The 17,533-nt window shown below is 49.7% G+C and overlaps 1 protein-coding gene and 1 long non-coding RNA gene across 18 annotated transcripts in view, besides 4 other annotated features; both read left to right on the forward strand.

The window, feature by feature from the left end:
- DOCK1 (dedicator of cytokinesis 1) overlaps window positions 1–17,533 on the forward strand; it is a 547,089-nt gene that overhangs the window by 263 nt on the left and 529,293 nt on the right. The window lies entirely within an intron of this gene.
- On the forward strand, window positions 41–14,624 carry LOC124900289 (uncharacterized). Its single transcript, XR_007062336.1, has 2 exons — window positions 41–11,340; window positions 11,404–14,624. It is a non-coding gene; the product is annotated as an uncharacterized LOC124900289 (long non-coding RNA).
- Window positions 759–1,507: an enhancer, noted in NCBI's record as "H3K27ac-H3K4me1 hESC enhancer chr10:128595018-128595766 (GRCh37/hg19 assembly coordinates)". NCBI's record gives its function as "activates a minimal SCP1, AML or CMV promoter by ChIP-STARR-seq in naive H9 embryonic stem cells {active_cell/tissue: H9 hESC(naive)}" and the evidence as "EXISTENCE:reporter gene assay evidence [ECO:0000049][PMID:30033119]".
- Window positions 5,199–5,699: an enhancer, noted in NCBI's record as "H3K4me1 hESC enhancer chr10:128599458-128599958 (GRCh37/hg19 assembly coordinates)". NCBI's record gives its function as "activates a minimal SCP1, AML or CMV promoter by ChIP-STARR-seq in primed H9 embryonic stem cells {active_cell/tissue: H9 hESC(primed)}" and the evidence as "EXISTENCE:reporter gene assay evidence [ECO:0000049][PMID:30033119]".
- Window positions 5,700–6,200: an enhancer, noted in NCBI's record as "H3K4me1 hESC enhancer chr10:128599959-128600459 (GRCh37/hg19 assembly coordinates)". NCBI's record gives its function as "activates a minimal SCP1, AML or CMV promoter by ChIP-STARR-seq in primed H9 embryonic stem cells {active_cell/tissue: H9 hESC(primed)}" and the evidence as "EXISTENCE:reporter gene assay evidence [ECO:0000049][PMID:30033119]".
- Window positions 14,078–14,626: an enhancer, noted in NCBI's record as "H3K27ac-H3K4me1 hESC enhancer chr10:128608337-128608885 (GRCh37/hg19 assembly coordinates)". NCBI's record gives its function as "activates a minimal SCP1, AML or CMV promoter by ChIP-STARR-seq in naive H9 embryonic stem cells {active_cell/tissue: H9 hESC(naive)}" and the evidence as "EXISTENCE:reporter gene assay evidence [ECO:0000049][PMID:30033119]".

The raw sequence follows: 17,533 nt of genomic DNA on the forward strand, positions 1-17,533 counted from the left end.
CCGCGCCGCCGCCCCGCTCGCAATGCCCGGCGACCCCGGCCGCCCCGCGCCCCCGGCGGCGTCAGCTCCAGCCCCGGGGATGCGGGTCGGGAACACGAGGGGGTGGGGTGGGAATGGGGGCGGGCGCGTCCCTCCCTAGGGTGTCCCCTCCGACGCCCGCTCCTCTGGACCTCTGCCGTGGAGCCCCCCGGGCTACCCCCAACTCCCCGGCCCCGGCCGCTGCTATCTGCGCGGCTGGGCCCGTCAGGGAAGCCCAGGGGTCACTGTCTCGCGGCGGCTTCTGCTTCTTGGATGAACTTGCGTCCCGCGTCCGGGCTCTGGGTGGGCGGGCTCAGGTCGGCGCGGTCCCAGCGGATAATTCCGCCCTTTCCCGGCGGGGAGGAGGGGGCGCGACCTGGGTGGCCAGCGCCCCTTGCCCCTCGGCGGTCTCGCTGGGGACCGTGTGGGACCTTGGAGAGAAGGCGAGCGGCCGAGCGCCCCAGTGGCCCCAGGCCTGGAGACCCTTCCGGGAGAGCGGGGGCCTGTTTTTGCTCCGCGGCTCTTTGTCGCTTCCGAGGGGGGATGGAAGGAGTCGGGTTGCAAGTTTACATTTCGGACCCGAGTGCGCATTCCTGAGAGGGAGGCTTTCCCTTGCGGCTGAATAGACGGGCCCGTCCGCGTGGGACCCGCATCCTTGCGCCCCGGGGACCCGCAGCCGGTCGCCGAGGCCTGCGGACGCCCACCTCTTCGTGATCTGCGCGCCTGGTGTCGGGACTGGGCCGTGGCTACTCTCCTGCTCTCCCGGGTCCGGGATCTTCCCAGTTGGTTTTCGGGCTTGCTATTCCCCGTCCCACCATCCACAGACATCCTTGACCGCCTGCCTCATCCAGGCCACTCGACCCGACTGGGAAGACCTTTGGTGGTCTCGCCTCCCACAGCCCAGGCTGTGTCCTCCAAGGGCACCGTCTCAGCAGCAGCCCCGCGCCCATTCTGTGCCTGGCCCGTGCTGGACCTGCCCGACCCTCTGCTGGTGTGGTTCGAATCCTGGCTCTCTGACTTTTGGGAAGCGCCCTGGCAGCCCTTGTCCCCGGAGCGCTCTCCTTTCTGTGAACAGTTGCTTCTCTCTGCTGTCAATGACTTACAGTATGCCCTGACCACGGAGCCAGCTGGACAGTGGTCACGGGGACAGTCCTGGGACAGCCCTGGGTCCTACCGGGCCTGCACTTAGCTTGTTCCACATGCTGGGAGGCATAGGGGGCCTCCTTGCTTCAGGACCATTATGACTGAGCTTCCTCCCCATCTCCCCATTTTGCAGATGAGGAAACTGAGGCCCAGACACATTCACAAAAGTGCAGGAGAGCTCATCTGACTGCAGACTCAGTGTGTAACCTGCACCCTGTGCACCACCTAATGGATTCAGTCTGGGGCACTTGGCACGGGCCTTCAGTCTGCATCAGAGGCGAGAGGTTCGGGGTGGATATTCCACCTGAGAATGCTTGGGTTGTGGCGACAGTGGGGGTCCCTGCGGGGGTAGTGTGTAGAGGAGAGAGCTGAGGACTGACTCCCAGGGAACCTAGCACCAGCACACGCAGAGAGAGAGGAAGAGGTGGATAGGCAGGAGAGGCAGGAGGCTGGCAGAGGAGCAGGCATCCCATAGCCCTGGCCCTGCTGAGGAAGCAACTTAGGTGCCCATGGCCAGGGTGCAGTAGTGGCCATTGGGGGTGTAGTGGGGGCCATCGGGGTGCAGTGGGGGCCATCACTGCTCCCATTCTACAGAGGCAAGGAAGAGGTGGATTGCTTGCCTGAGGTCACATCACCAGTAAGTGGTGCCTCCTGGGTGTGAAGTGTGGCCGCCCTGGGTTCAGCTGCCACAGTGTCCTGTGCTTGCCTGCAGATGGGGAGGGCTTCTCTTTGGGACGCCACATTTTAAGAGACCTTGTTACCCTTCGTCTGCCCCCAGAGAGACCTGGATGGTGTCAGTTAGGATCCTATAGTGTAGCTGGATGGTCTGGAGAAGACTGAAAAGAATGTTCGTAGATGGGAGAACGGGGTCTCCTTGCTGGGGAGGAGGCTGAGGGCCAGAACAGGGCGGTGCGCTTGAGTCTCACACCTTCCAGAAGCTTCACCAGCGCTCATGGTGGTGACTTCTAACATCACACCTCTTGCTAATACTTTGGTTTTAAGAAAACTCCATGTTTGATTATTAAGAAAAAATAAATTTAAAAAAGTTAAAAAAAGAAAAAATAGAAAACTGTTGGAAAATTTTAAAAGGCGAAAAGTATCTGGGATGGTTTTGCCAGGAAATGCTAGGAAAGATGTGAAGGGCTGAAGGTAGAGAAGAGAGTGGCTGCTGTGCTTCCTCTCACTGGGTGCAGATGACAGCTTGCTGGGTAGACAGTAATGAGACAGCACCACTCCATCGGCATCCAGAGGCACTTTAACCAGAGTCCCCCATCAGGGAGGGTGGGAGGGGAGCTGAGCATGAGCGCAATGGGGCCATCCCAGGCTCCCCACTTGTCTGCAAGTGTGCAGTGGGAGGATTTTAGTGGTTCTCACGAAGGATGCTGACTGGGAAGGATGTAGGTGCTGGGATGTAGGGATTTATTGCCAGTAGGTGATTGGCTGTTTCCACCTAAGGGAAAATTACTGGAGGACCCCTCCACCATCCTTACCAACTCCAGCATTTTTCGGAGCTTAACAACAGGGCTGTGTTTCCCTGGAGGCGCTCTGGTGGCTCTGTGGGTGGACCACACTTCCACTCTGGCCACTTGGCCCATGAACGAATCACGAGGGGTAAGAAAATGATAAAACTCCATCTCATTTGGAAACATGAATCACAGCTTATTGTTTGCAAGTACTTGGAATCTGTTAGAAGCATTGTTTGTAAATGAGATACTTCAGTTGTATATTTATTTTGTAAAATTGGGAAAGGAGTAAACAGCTGATCTGGGGTTCCTTCTGCAAAGGCAGGAAATGCTGGTTCCTCCCAATTCATTCCACTGGGGGCTGCCTGTGAAATTTACCAGCCCGCGTTTCCCCCTTGGTTTTGAGTTGGTGGGTCATGTTTACGGGCCTGGCATATTAACAGGCATAAACCTTGACTCAGCTGTCACACTGGCCAGATGATCTTTTCTCTCACAGCCCAGTAGGCAGTTTTATGTCCCGACGTCAATAAAATTATGTTGCCATGGATCCTGTTCCTAAGATTAGGTGAAAAGATGCAGTATGTTCTAGAATCACACGTGAGGACCATGTGCTCACTCACTCACATCTCAACAATGGTGTTGAAGGCAGAATAATGGTCCCCAAAAAGGTCCACGCCCTAATCCCCAGACTCTGTGAATTCAATATGTTACATGGCAAAAGGGACTTGGCAGATGTGATTCAGGTTACTTGGAATTCGTAGATGGGAGATTATTCAGGACCATCCACGTGGGCACAGAGAACTTTGGCTGTCAAAGTTGTGAAACAGGCAGTCAGAAGATCCTATGTTTGGAAGCACAGTTGCTGGCCCTGAGATGTAGGGGCTCACTTGCAAGGACCAGAGAGAGGCCTCAGGGAGCTACGGGAGGCCCCTAGCTAATGATCGGCAGTTACAAAGAATTGGATCCTGCCAACACCCTGAATGAGCTTGGAAACAGATTTCCTCCCCAGGGCCTCCTGCTAAGAGCCCAGCCAGCCAACACCTTGATTTTGAGACCCTGAGCTGCTGGGCGTGTGGCCTGTGGAACTGAGATAATACATTTGTGTGGTTTTAAGCTGGCTGGGTTGTGGGAATTTGTTACGGCAGCAGTGGAAAACTAATACAGATGATGGGAGAGAAGCTTGCAGGGTGAGGCTCTCTTGCACCCTTGAGATCTGTTACTAAGTTCATTGAAGGTAGTGAACCCAAGTGTGCTCTTCACTTTGGCCACTTCCAAGTGCAGCTCTCAAATGGGATGGGGCATTGGCACTGCTCTTACTCATAATGGGACCCTTGAGCAAATTACTCATACTTTCTTAGCCTTGGTTTTCTCATCTGTGAAGTGGAACCAAGCCTGCTTGCTGCCGAGTCGTGAGGACTCGCTGAGATGATGTTGGCAGAGAATTTAGCCCTGCGTTTAAGATATGCCAAGTACTCAACGAAGCGTTGCTTTTGTTAACTTTTTATTTAATAAAGCATAAAGTTTAGAAACATAGTGACAAGTGACTTCTGTGTGCGGTTAACGGGTTGCTGGAAAAATGCCTTTCTTCAAAAGTTGGTTTCTTGATAGTGTGTTTTGCTTCCTAATTGGGGTAGAAGTCACATTTGCTCAGTGTGAGGAGCCTGACTTGCGTGCCTTCACATTAGCTCTAAGCAATGATAATTGCTAGGAATAGTGTGATATCCAAATAAATTTGGGAGCGTGGGAGTTGATGAGAGATCTCTTTTGTTATCTAGAGTAGCAAGCAAGCTGCTACTTTGGGGAAGAAAAATTAGATTTGATCATAAGTAAATAGAAATGCAGGCATTTTCATTCACTGGAATTGCAGCAAAACCAAATCAGGGCATATTATATTTCTACAAACCTGATTTTACTTTGGAAACATAAGAAATTTAAATTTATTTCTATGCCATTGTTTGCCTAGGATACCAGACATCTGATCAGGATTGTCTTAGTGTGTGTCAATAGTTCTGTCTCTTTATCACCTCTGTGGATGCAGGTAGTGAAATGGGGAGGAAGAAATAGGCCACGTGGTGTCCTTTGCTGGGTGTGGCGCTGACGCCCCAGGGCCATCGCTGTAGCAAGCGCACACTTGTACGCTGTTCCCACCCTCCTTCCCTCCCTCCCTTTTCCCTTCTTTCTTTTCTTCCTCTCTGTACTTTGTATTTTCAGATGATTGCATTAAACTTTGTATTTTCAGATAATTATAGCCAAATGCGGGTGTAAAATATAATTCAGGGAGATCATGAGTAGCCATTACTAGTTTCACCTAAGGTTACGTCTTGTAAAGCTGTAGTACAGCATCACGACTGGGATATTGACATCGATAGTCAAGGTACAGAACATTTCCAGCACCACAAGCACCACGCCTACCTCCCTCCACGCCTTTCTCCCCTCAAATCCTGGCCACCCTTTGCCTGTTCTGTGTTTTTATAATATTGTCCTTTAAAGAGTGTTCCGTTAGTGAAATTGCATAGGAGGTAAGCTTTCGGGATTGGCTTTTTTCACTCAGTATCTCTCTCTGGATATTCATCCGGGTGTTGCTTCTTTTCTTTGCTGAGTATCATTTCATGGTCTGGATATGCCCCAGATTAACTGTTCACCTGTCGAAGGACATCTGAGTTTGGCTGTGACAAATACAGCTGCTGTCAACAAGCACATACAGGTTTTAGTGTGAACCTAAGTCTTCATTTTCTGGGATAAATGCCCAGGAGTGCAGAGGCTGAGTCGTCTGGTAGTTGGATGTTTAGCTTTTTAAGAAACTGCCAAACTTTCCTGGAGTAACTGTGCCAGTTCACATTCTCACCAGCAGTGTATATGTGATTGTAGATTTCTCGGAATCCTTGCCATCATTTGTCACCGTCCTTATTGCTTGTGTAGGTGTGTAGTTGTCTGTCATTGTGGTTGGAGTTTGCATTTGCCTTGGTTTCATTTGGGAGCCAGCGTGCAGCTCCCTGTGCTGCTGCGGTACAGGAGAAGGCAGCCCACCCAGGGGGTGCTGGTGGGAGCGCTGTATGAGCGGGTCCACTGAGCTGTGAAATTGTCCAGTGTATTCAGGGAAGGACTTTGATCCAGTTTGAAGAGACATCATGGAGTGGAAGGCTGACCGGGCACATGCACCAGTGTGGAGACCACGGTTAACACCAGGTGGTCGCTTGTCAAGATGCGGTTGTCAAGATGTTCACTTTTCAAACCCTTCAGTGCATCCGGAAGGCCTTCAGGGAGGAAATGAGGAGGCGCCCGAGGAGGGGTCAGAGTTTGAGTTTTAGCCCTGACAAGGCCACTGTTCATGCATATGACCCAGGGTGAGTGTTTGAACCTCTTCCAGCCTGGTTTCTGCGTTTTTAAGCAGCGATGTTCTGGATGGTACTGTGGGCTTTGCTTCACTGAGGTTGGGCTGATGGGAGTTGACAGGAACTAATTAATGTATCTTAAGGCAGTTTGGAAACATTGTTATGCAAATGGATTGCATTTGCCATCAGCCACTGTTCCTCAATTTGCTTTTATTGATATGATGGGAAGTGCTTTGGAGCTGACGTTGAAATCACAGTGTGGAATTTGTGTGTTAGTTGACTGGAGCTACCATAACAAAGGACCACAAGACAGGGTGGCTTAACCAACAGGACTGTGTTTCTTCACAATTCTGTAATGCCGGAGTCAAGGTGTTTTGGTGGTTGGTTTCTTCTGAGACCTCTCTCCTTGGGTTACAGACAGCTGTCTTCACCCTGTCTTCATAGGGTCTTCCTTCGGTGTGTGTCAGTGTCCTCATTTCCTCTTCTTACAAGGCCACTATGGCCAGCCTCGGTGGCTCACACCTGTAATCCCAGCATTTTGGGAGGCTGAGGTGGGCGGGTCACCTGAGGTCAGGGGTTAGAGACCAGCCTGGCCAATATGGTGAAACCCCATCTCTAGTAAAAATACAAAAAATTAACCTGGTATGGTGGCGGGCGCCTGTAATCCCAGCTACTGGGGAGGCTGAGGCAGGAGAATCACTGGAACCTCGGAGGCGGAGGTTGCAGTGAGCCAAGATTGCGCCATTGTACTTCAGCCTGGGCAACAAGAGCAAAACTCCATCTCAAAAAAAAAAAAGAGACCGGGCGCGGTGGCTCACGCCTGTAATCCTAGCACTTTGGGAGGCCAAGGCGGGGAGATCACGAGGTCAGTAGATCGAGACCCTCCCGGCTAACACGGTGAAACCCTGTCTCTACTAAAAATACAAAAAACTAGCCGGGCGTGGTGGCGGGCGCCTGTGGTCCCAGCTACTCGGGAGGCTGAGGCAGGAGAATGGCGTGAACCCGGGAGGCGGAGCTTGCAGTGAGCCGAGATCGCGCCACCGTACTCCAGCCTGGGTGACAGAGTGAGACTCCATCTCGGAAAAAAAAAAAAAAAAAGAAAGAAAGGACACTAGTCATGCTGGATAAGGGCCTACCCTACCGTAAAGACCACACTTTGACTTAGTCACCTCTTTAAATTCCCTGCCTCCAAATACAGTCACACATCCAGGATGCTGAATTTCTGAGGTTAGAACACTGACATATGGATTTGGAGGGACACAGTGTAGCCCATAACAGTATGATTTTGATAACATAAGACTTTTCATCTACAGTTTCCCTCTGTCTTTAGTGGCCTTTGAATTTTTTTTTTTTTTTCCTGCAAGCCCATGGGTCCCTGGTGCTACTGGACTCGAGGGAGGTAAGGAGCTTTCTAATGGGACTCCAATTTGTTTCTGTTCAGATCTGGAAATTCCTTGTAATCAAATTAGTGACAGAACAATGCAATCAGGTAGTTTGAGATCCAAACAGGAACTTCAGAGCAGTTCTTTAAGTGTGATCATTCTCCTGTGAGTGTGGCTCAGTCTCTGAGCTCAACCTACCTGGGCTTAAGCTGCATTTAGCATTAGGATATTCACACATCCTGCTTGGACTTAATTCCAGTTTCTTACCATTTATGTTTTTGTAGCATGAGTAGGGCAGCCTCATATTGGCTCTGGAATCCCAGTTGGACAGTGATGGCAAAACCCGGGCTTTGGTGCTGGTGTCACACACTTGGTGACCCAGGGCTGTCCCACACAACTCCAGGGGGCACTGTTCTTCTCCACAGCCCACGAGGCTGGCTTCTGTCCTCCACTCGCACCTTGCGTGGCCCTCCGTGGCCTTGGGCCGTCAGAAAAGCGCTTTAATATCAGGAGCTCATGGGGCAAGGGAGGGGGCTTGGCTCGTGACAAATAAATGACACCGGGCTTCTTGATGATGACTTACAAGCTCAGTTTTGGCCTGCCACTCTGCAGTTATCCACATGCCCACATGCACGTGGGAAACTGAGTATCCACGCAGGCACTCCCTGTCTTCAAAAGGCAGATGGTTTCACCCCAGACAGATGTCTGTCAGTTCGTTGAATTTTCATTTGGGTGCCTTGAGGAGAAAAAGATGCTTTCTCTTGGCATATAGTGTGTGCTGTCAAAACAGCTCAGGTTAGGGGTCATAGAGATCCGTCTTTGAATATCAGCCTGGTGTCTTATTAGGCATGTCACCTTGGGGGTTATTTACCTTAAGCCTGAGTTTCTCCTTTGTAAAACTGGTGATAACACCAACCTCTTTGGGCCCTTCTGAGGAGAAAGAGATAACCTAGCCCAAACCGGGCCCATGGTCTGTGCTTGATAATGTTAGTTTCTTTCATCCTTTATTGATTGCTTTGTAAGTAGAAGGCTGTGTTGCTTGGGACTGAATCTCTAGCTTAATTCAGGCTCTCCCCAGCCCTGCTGCATGGGCCCCATTGCTTCTGTAGCCCCTGCCTGTTGCAAAGTGCTGGTCAGAATTTTAATGTTAGCTCTGAGGTTAGATCAGGGACTGTAGTTCTTATTGATTGCTGGGGGGTCCTGAAGGGACAGGATGAAGGCAGATCTCTACATCTCTCATCAGAAATGTTACCTTGAGTCTTTATCTAGATGCAGTTGCTGTTTAGACCTATGATTTGTTGCTGCATCTCCTGAGGAGTGTGATGCAAGATTTTTATGCCATCCTGAGTGATTTGTTTCAGTTTTAAATTTTATTTTATTTATTTATTTTTATAGACAGGCTCTTGGTCTACTGGCCAGACCAGAGTGCAGTGATGCGATCATAGCTCACTGCAGCCTTGAACTCCCAGGCTCAAGTGATCCTCCAACCCTGGCCTTCTGAGTAGCTGGGACTACAGGTCTAGCTAATTAAAAAAAACTTTTTTAAGGAGATTGGGAGAGGGTCTTGTTATGTTGCCCTGGTCTCAAACTCTTGACCAAAGTGCAGGGATTAGAGATGTGAGCCACCACACCCAGGGGAGTGATTTAACTTAATTGGTTACACTAGGTAAACTTAGGTGTATTTATGTAACAGTCATGATTTCCTTTCTGACTGTTAGCTAGCTGCTGTAACAAACAGCCCCAACATTTTGCTGGCTTCATACAATACAAGTTTGTTTTTCATTTGTGTCAAAGTGGGCGGTGGGGAGGGTGAGCAGGGGCTCTGCTCTGCCCAGCCATTCAGAGTCTCTGGCTCCTTTGACCCTGCCAGTCTGCCCTCCACTGCCCTTCCCCATTCAACCTGTAGATGGGGAAAGAAAGAGATGAGGATGGTGCATAGATTTTCTTTCTGGCCTGGTCTGGGGGTGGTGCCCATCCCTTCTGCTCACATTTTCTCACCGTGACCTGAGTCTCTGGTCAGACCTGCAGCAAGTGGGGTGGGAAATGTAATCTGACTGTGTGCCTCGCAGGAAGAGGAGAATGTGGATTTGGTGGTCTCCTCCACGTGTTCCTATTGATGCTTATTTTCCATTACCAGGAAGAATGTTAGTCTGGACTCTTCAGCTTCATTGGCGTTGAGCATAGAGGTTGTACATCCTCAGGACTTTCACCCTGAAAGTCACTTGGCAGAACAGATGTTCATGTCCCTATAAAGACGGAAGTGATGCCAAGGACAGACGCCGCCTTTTTCCTTGGGGTGTATTTTGCTACTTATGTCCTATAGATTTCAGGATATTCTTCAGGGTATACCAAGCCCGAGAGCAGTGCTGCTTTCTCAATGTGTCTTTTTCTTTTTTGGGGGCGGGGGGGGGATGGAGTCTTGCTCTGTTGCCCAGGCTGGAGTGCAGGGGCACAATCTTGGCCCACTGCAACCTCCGCCTCCTGGATTCAAGCAGTTTTCCTGCCTCAGCCTCCCAAGTAGCTGGGATTACAGGTGTGCACCACCGCATCTGGTAATTTTTTGTATTTTTAGTAGTAACACGGGGTTTAGTTACTAACACGGGTTAGTAACACGGGGTTTCACTGTGTTAGCCAGGATGGTCTCGATCTCCTGACCTCGTGATCTGCCCACCTTGGCCTCCCAAAGTGCTGGGATTACAGGCGTGAGCCACCGTGCCTGGCCTCAGTGTGTCCTGTCCTTTTCATATCTGTCTGGCTGTTCCTGTTCCCACCATCCAAAAACACATGCACACCCCAGGCCCCTTTCCTGTGCTGTTTAATTCTTTTGGCCTCAGAAGGCTGTGTACTAAAGCTTGCTAATGAGAACCGTGTCTTTGTTTTTAAGTGTTTTTTGTCTTTATAGAATGGAATCTCTATATTCTGAAATAACTCTTGTCTATGAGTATGTATGCAATGAGAAAGGCTATAAAGTTAAATCAAGGAGAGCAACAGTGACTTAAAAGTTAGGCGTTGGGACACTATGGTGTGGAGTTTAGAGCACTGGATTGACAGCCTGAATAATAGGGTCTGGTATTCCTGGGTACAGCACTTAACTGCTGCCACCTCTGCCCTCCCTGAGCCCCAGGCCCCTTACCTGGAGTTAGGGCATATCCTAGCACATCTGTGCATCTCAGCTCTGCCCAGGGGAGAGAGCAGGACCGTGTGTGTGGAAGAGCTTTGAGAAGAGAAAGTACTACTTAGTGTTGGGTTATTCATGTTAAACTATTATACAGTCAATATTAACTTCTTATAGAGAAAATATATGATTTCTGGTGATTGTTTTAAATTGGAAAAGGACAGTGTGGCATTGTGAGTTTCACTTTCCTCAAAGTTTTATGATTTTTATTTTACTTACTAGTAGACAAGTTTTCTAGTAATTGATTATGTTGTGAGTAGATGAACATCTTGCATAAGCAGCTAGCCTGGGCTGCTGTGTAACCTATGTATAGAGACGAATGGTGATGAAGCCTGTATGTTTCAGCCTCGGTTAGGAAACCTTCTGTCCTAAGCCACAGAAAAGTTAAAGAAGACTCTGCCTCGAAATAACTCATTTCTTCCCTCCCTTCTCCCCTTCTTCCCTCATTCCTTCTGTCCTTTCTTCCTCCCCTCCTTCCTTTCCTCCTTCCTTTCCTCCCCTCCTTCCTTCTACCCCTCCTTTCCTTCCTTCCCTTCTTTCTTCCTTCCTTCCTGTTTGCTTGCCAGCCCTGTTCTTAGACATTGGTATCTGGAGCTGCCCTCATGGGGTTTATAGTCTGATACAGCCAACTCTTCCATATCTGAAACTCTCGAGGCCAGTGGTGTTTCAGAATTCCAGTTTGTCACAGTGCAGAGAGACAGGTGGGAGCTGTGTGAGGCCAGCGGTGTTTCAGAATTCCAGTTTGTCACAGTGCAGAGAGACAGGTGGGAGCTGTGCGAGGCCAGCGGTGTTTCAGAATTCCAGTTTGTCACAGTGCAGAGAGACAGGTGGGAGCTGTGCGAGGCCAGCGGTGTTTCAGAATTCCAGTTTGTCACAGTGCAGAGAGACAGGTGGGAGCTGTGCTTGTGGCTCCTGTGCCAGACACCCCGAGCAGCTCTGGGCAACACCCTGGAGTCGAGCATATTGATTCTGCTGCCATGAGCGTGTGAACATTCACAGCACGAGGGAAGCCATCCGTAATTAGCTCCTCTCCGCTCAGGTTAGACTTTTGCAGTTAAATGAATTACAGAAATCTCTTTGGGTTTGGGAACTTTGTGGGTATTTCGGGCTTGTGGGTAATGAACTGTCGATGTTGTATTTTTTCACAGCTCAACCAACATATTCAGGTTTTGTCTTCTCAGGGCCTGTCATTCATTCTGGTTCTCTGATCAGATTTCCTCAGACTGTGGGTGCCTGCAGCCAGCCCGGAAGCCCTTTAAAATGCCCTTCGTGGCCATCCTGGCCTCATTCCCAGATCCACTCCTGTCCAGCTGGGTGCCTGGCTGGTCCCCGGTCACAGTCTGCAATTCCCACTCCCCTGCCTCAGCTTCACAGGGTCTGTGGCTGATCCGAGTCAGGCCCTGGGCACTGCTGGCCTCATCACATTGGCCTCCGGACCCCTTCTGGAAGAGACTTATCCCTTTGTTCCACCCCGGGCTGTGGGGACAAGATTTTGCGAGAGCTGAGGGCCCAGTGAGAATGGTCTTGAGTCCTTAGGGCCTGGGAGCCCTAGGTGGAAGTGGGAAGGAGGAGGAGGAGAGTGGGGAGGAGATGTGAGGACTAAGCGCACCCAGGGCCAGTTTAAGAGGTCAGGGTCGAGGACATTAGAGGCCTGTCTCCCCCAGGCGCATAAAGCTGTGAGTTTTCCTTCTTCAGTTCCTTAGGCAGAACCCCTAAAGCAGATTCTGGGGTGATGGAACTCTGGGTATGAGTTCTTGTTAGCCAGGCATAGTTAGGAGCTTGGGCCTGCATCTGGACGAGAGAGACTCAGCTGTGCCCATTGAGAGCTTGTGCTGCCTGCAAAGTGACCTGCCTGAGGCTCATTGCCTGGTCCCTGTGAATATTAAGTGGCTTCAACACAAAGAAGGGACTTCCAGGGGAGGCTGCCCGGGATTGCCAGTGCAGTGGGGCTCCGCTGATGCTCAGGATCACCAGCGTGCAGCGGGGACTCCACTGATGCCTGGGATTGATTGCCAGCATGCAGCGGGGACTCCACTGATGCCTGGGATTGATTGCCAGCATGCAGCGGGGGCTCCGCTGATGCCCGGTATCCACCAGCGTGCAGCGGGGGCTCTGCTGATGCCTGGGCTTGCATGCCGCTGCCGCTGCCTACTGGTGCGTGGCGGTAGCCGCCTGTGCCCAGCTGGTGTGCTTGTCCAAGGTGATGACGGTACTTTTTATTGCACAGAGTTGCTGGAGAGTTGAATGACCTGGGTCATGTCAGCACAGTTTCTCAGTCCCTGCACTGTTGACATTCTGGGCAGGATAATTTTTCACCCTGGGGAGCTGTCCTGTACCTTGCTGGATACTTAGCAGGGCCTGCCCAGTAGATCCCGGTAGCAGGATCCCCCTCCAGCTCTGTATGTTCTTCAGATGATTTGGGGATATCACTGGTATTTTAATAAGTTCTAGAATTTCCCCCATTGACATTGCCAGGATGTCAAGCCAGGATGTCTCAGCCATTGCCAACTGTCCCGGGGGTAAGTGGGGCGGGATGGCCTAACTCATGGTAAACACTCAACAGCTGCTTACTGTTACTAATGATACTGTGTTATTAGCAGCAAAGTCAGCGAAGTCACTTCTGTATATTTGGGAAGAAAAGCTAGAAACCCCAACGACTTGGTCTGGCAGGGTGTGCAGGTGGGCACGGAGGATTCGGACAGGTGGGCACGGAGGATTTGGAGGAGGAGAAAGTCAAGGTGCAGATGGGCACAGAGGATTTGGAGGAGGAGAAAGCCGAGAGGGAGTGTGGGGGCCCTTCGGCCAAGCTTCTTGGCTGTCTAAAGATCATTAGGAGCTGGCTGTGTTTCATTCTCCTTCTGAGAGACAAACATGAGTTTCTCTTGAGGCCAGGAGTGATGTGCAGATGAACACGAATTGTGTGGCTCATCCCAACATGTCCTTTAAGAAACCCCATGCAGGCTGCTTAGAGACCTTCCTAAACGCAGGAACTCAAGCATTTGCTTCTTGGAGTTTTATTTGCTGGAATAAAGGCACTTATCAACCTCTTTTTTATTTTTCGAAAATAATAACTTATTTTCTTTAACATAATTGACTTCACCAGAGGCAAATACCGATTTAGCAGGAAGGAAATGTGATTATTTTCCTTTCTAATTGCTGTGCTTCTATTAACTTCACAAGATTTGTTTTCAAGTCCTCCTAACGTCATAAGTGTTTTCCTGACAATTTTTCAAAGGCAGGAATCGTCCTGTTCCTCCAGGCACCGTGGCCAAGTGGCCAGATTTCTTCACATTATTCTTGGGGGTTGTTGCTTTGAGAATCAGCCCAGTGAGGCCAAGGGGAAGGGGAGGTGGGGGTGTGTGCAGGAGGCCTGAGACTTAGGTGACCCCGATGACGGTCTGTGCTATTTCCATACTCAGGCTCTGTGGCCGTCAGCCCGTTGCTCTGAGGGACAAAAGCTTTCTTATCCCAACCCAGGCTGGATGACCCCCCGATCCCGCGTTGCTCTCTGCAGTTCTGCGACATGCTTCCCCTCCAGTCCCCCTGGGGGCAGGTGGTGGCTCCGTGTCCCCTGCTAGACGGAGGGCCCTCGAGGGTGAGGCCTTAATCCTGTTGCTTTCTCTCTTCCCAGCACCTGCTGTGGTCCCTGGCACACCTTGCCGTACATTGAATGAAGGCAAAGGGAGAGATTTCATCATAGCAAAATGTCATGAACTGCCTGGAGAACCATGAGTTTTCTGTTGGTGGGGAGTTACGTCTTGGAGGGGGCACCACTTCCAGGACTAAGGCAGTGTCGGCTCAGCTCGAGAATGCAGTGGGTGACGGGGTCAGCAGCCCTAAAACTCCCTCCACCCCGGCTGTGGGAAGCACCCACTGGGGGCTCCATCCCGATGGGCTTCCTGAGCTAAAATGGGTGCTTTGTCCATGCTGGATAAATATGTGGCGATGTTGGTGGGTTGGGCAAGTCAGTTACACGACTCTGTATGTTCTTCAGATGATTTGGGGATATCACTGTTATTTTAATAAGTTCTAGAATTTCCCCCATTGACATTGCTACAAGGCAATTAAATTAAATTAAAGTTCCTTCTTAATAAAATGTTCCAGTAAAACACTTTCCTAGTCCCCTTGTTGATACGTTTGTCTGCAGTGACTGGATTAGCTGGCGGGAGAATAGAAGAAAAGTGGATTTTGAAGGGAGATTGTGCTTGAGTCACGCTTCCAGCTCCTAGTCATTGTGGGACCCCAGTGGGGCTCCCCAGAGCTTTCGGGTCTTGATCATCTGTAAAATGAGGGTCCTGCCACCAGTCTTTTCTGCTCCCAAATGCAGTAATGAAAAGCCAATGAAATCAAAGTATATAATATATATGCTAAAGTACTTTGTAATTATAAAGCATTAAACAGCTAAAAGGAATAATAAATTCTGTTCAGAGCACAGATTGGCAAGCTTTTTCTGCAGAGATCTAGAAAATAAATACTTTAGGTTTTGCAGGCCAAGAGGCAAAATGGAGGATACTATGTTAAGACATTAAACCTAGAACTACCATCTGACCCAGTGATTCTTCTCTTAGGTGTGCACCCAGAAGAAGTAGAAACAGTTCACATAGGCTGGTCCGAGTGCAGTGGTGTTTACAACTAGCTGATCACAACCAGTTACTGATGTCATTGTTCCTTCTCCACTCCCACTGCTTCACTTGCCTTTACAAAAAGTTCAGGCCGGGCACGGTGGCTCACACCTGTAATCCCAGCACGTTGGGAGGCCGAGGCGGGCAGATCACCTGAGGTCAGGAGTTTGAGACTAGCCTGGGCAACATGGTGAAACCCCGTCTCTACTAAAAATACAAAAACAATTAGTTGGGCGTGGTGGTTCGCACCTGTAATACCAGCTACTGGGGAGGCTGAGGCAGGAGAATCACTTGAATCTGGGAGGCAGAGGTTGCAGTGAGCCGAGGTCGCACCATTGCACTCCAGTCTGAGCAGAAGAGTAAGACTCTATCTCAAAAAAAAAAAAAAAAAAAAGTTCAAACAAGTAGTTATTTACAATTGTTCGTAGCAGCATTAGTCACAATACTTAAAAGGTGGAAACAATTCAAATGTCCATCATTGGATGAATGGATAAACAAAACATGGTATGTCCCTATAATGGAATATTATTCAGCCATGAAAAGGAATGAAACACCGATCATGCTACAGCATGGGTGAACCTTGAAAACATGCTAAGGGCAAGAAGCCAGTCACAGAGGGACATACATGATTCTATTAATAGGAAATGTGATTCTGTTTATATGAAATGTCCAGAATAGGCAAATCTGTAGGCACAGAAAGCAGATTAGTGGTTGCCCGGGACTAGGGGAGGGCGTGATGGGGAGTGGCCTCTTAGTGGGAGTGTCAGTCTGTTTGCATTACTATAAAGGAATACTTGAGGACGGGTGAGAGAGAGAGAGACAGAGATTTGTTTGTTTGTTTATTTGAGATGGAGTCTCGCTCTGTTCCCCAGGCTGGAGTGCAGTGGCGCGATCTCAACTCACTGCAGCCTCCACCTCCTGGGTTCAAGCGATTCTCCTGCCTCAGCCTCCCGAGTAGCTGGGACTATAGGCATGCACCACCTGCCTGGTTAATTTTTGTATTTTTAGTAGAGATGGGGTTTTGCCATGTCGGCCAGGCTGGTCTCAAACTCCTGACCTCAGGTGATCCACAAGGCTAGGTAATTTATAAGAAAAGAGGTATAAGGCTGGACACAGTGGTTCATGCCTGTGGCCCCAAAACCTTGGGAGGCCTAGGCAGGCTGATCCTTTGAGCCCAGAAGTTGGAGACCAGCCTAGACAACATGACAAAACCCCATCTCTACAGAAAATTTAAAAATTAGCCAGGCGTGGTGGCACACACCTGTAGTCCCAGCTATTCAAAAGGCTGAGGTGGGAGGATTATGTCCCTGGAGCCCAGGAAGTGGAGGTTGCAGAGATTGCATCACTGCATTTCAGCCTGGGTGACAGAGTACGACCCTGTATCAAAAAAAAAAAAAAAAAAAAAAAAAGGAAAGAGTTATAATTGGCTCATGTTTCTGTAAGCTGTACAGGAGTCATGGTGCTGGCATCTGCTTCTGGAGAGGCATCCGGAAACTTCCAATCATGGCAGAAGGGGAAGGGAGAGCCAATGCATCACAGGACAAGAGCAGGAGCAAGAGAGGGGAGGAGCTGCCACACTCTAGTCCAGTCTAGACCACACACTGGTCTAGAGTCTTAGAATCTTTTAGTTTTAGAATAATGACCATTATTTTTGTAACAACCAGTGTCTCGGGAACTCACTGAGTAAGAACTTGGTCCTCACCAAGAGGATGGTGCGAAGCCATTCCGGAGGGAGGCGCCATGATCCAAATCCCTCCCACAAGGCCCATCTTCAACATTGGGGATCACATTTCCACAAGAGATTTGGAGGGGACAGACATCCAAATGGTATCAGTGACTTTGGGGTTTCCTTATGCAGTGATGAAAATACTTAAGAACTAGACAGAGGTGGTGGTTGCACAACATTAGGAATGTACTAAATATTACACACTACTAAATTGTATACTTTAAAATGGTTAATTTTCTGTTATGTTAGTTTTACCTCCTTTAAAAAAAAAGATGAGGACCGGGTACGGTGGCTCACGCCTATAATTCCAGCACTTTGGAAGGCTGAGGTGGGCGGAGCACCTGAGGTTGGGAGTTTGAGACCAGCCTGACCAACATGGAGAAACCCCATCTCTACTAAAAATACAAATTAGCTGGATGTGGCAGTGCATGCTTGTAATCCCAGCTACTCGGGAGGCTGAGGCAGGAGAATTGCTTCAGCCCGGGAGGCGGAGGTTGCGTTGAGCCGAGATTGTGCCATTGCACTCCAGTCTGGGCAACAAGAACGAAACTCCATCTAAAAAAATAAAATAGAATAAAAGATGGGAACCATTCTTAGCTTATGGGCAGTATAAAGCTAAGCTGTGGGCCACATTTGGCCCATAGGCTGTAGTTTGCTGACCTCTGGTCTAGA

This window comes from Homo sapiens, chromosome 10 (assembly GCF_000001405.40).
Source record: "Homo sapiens chromosome 10, GRCh38.p14 Primary Assembly".
NCBI lineage: Eukaryota > Metazoa > Chordata > Mammalia > Primates > Hominidae > Homo > Homo sapiens.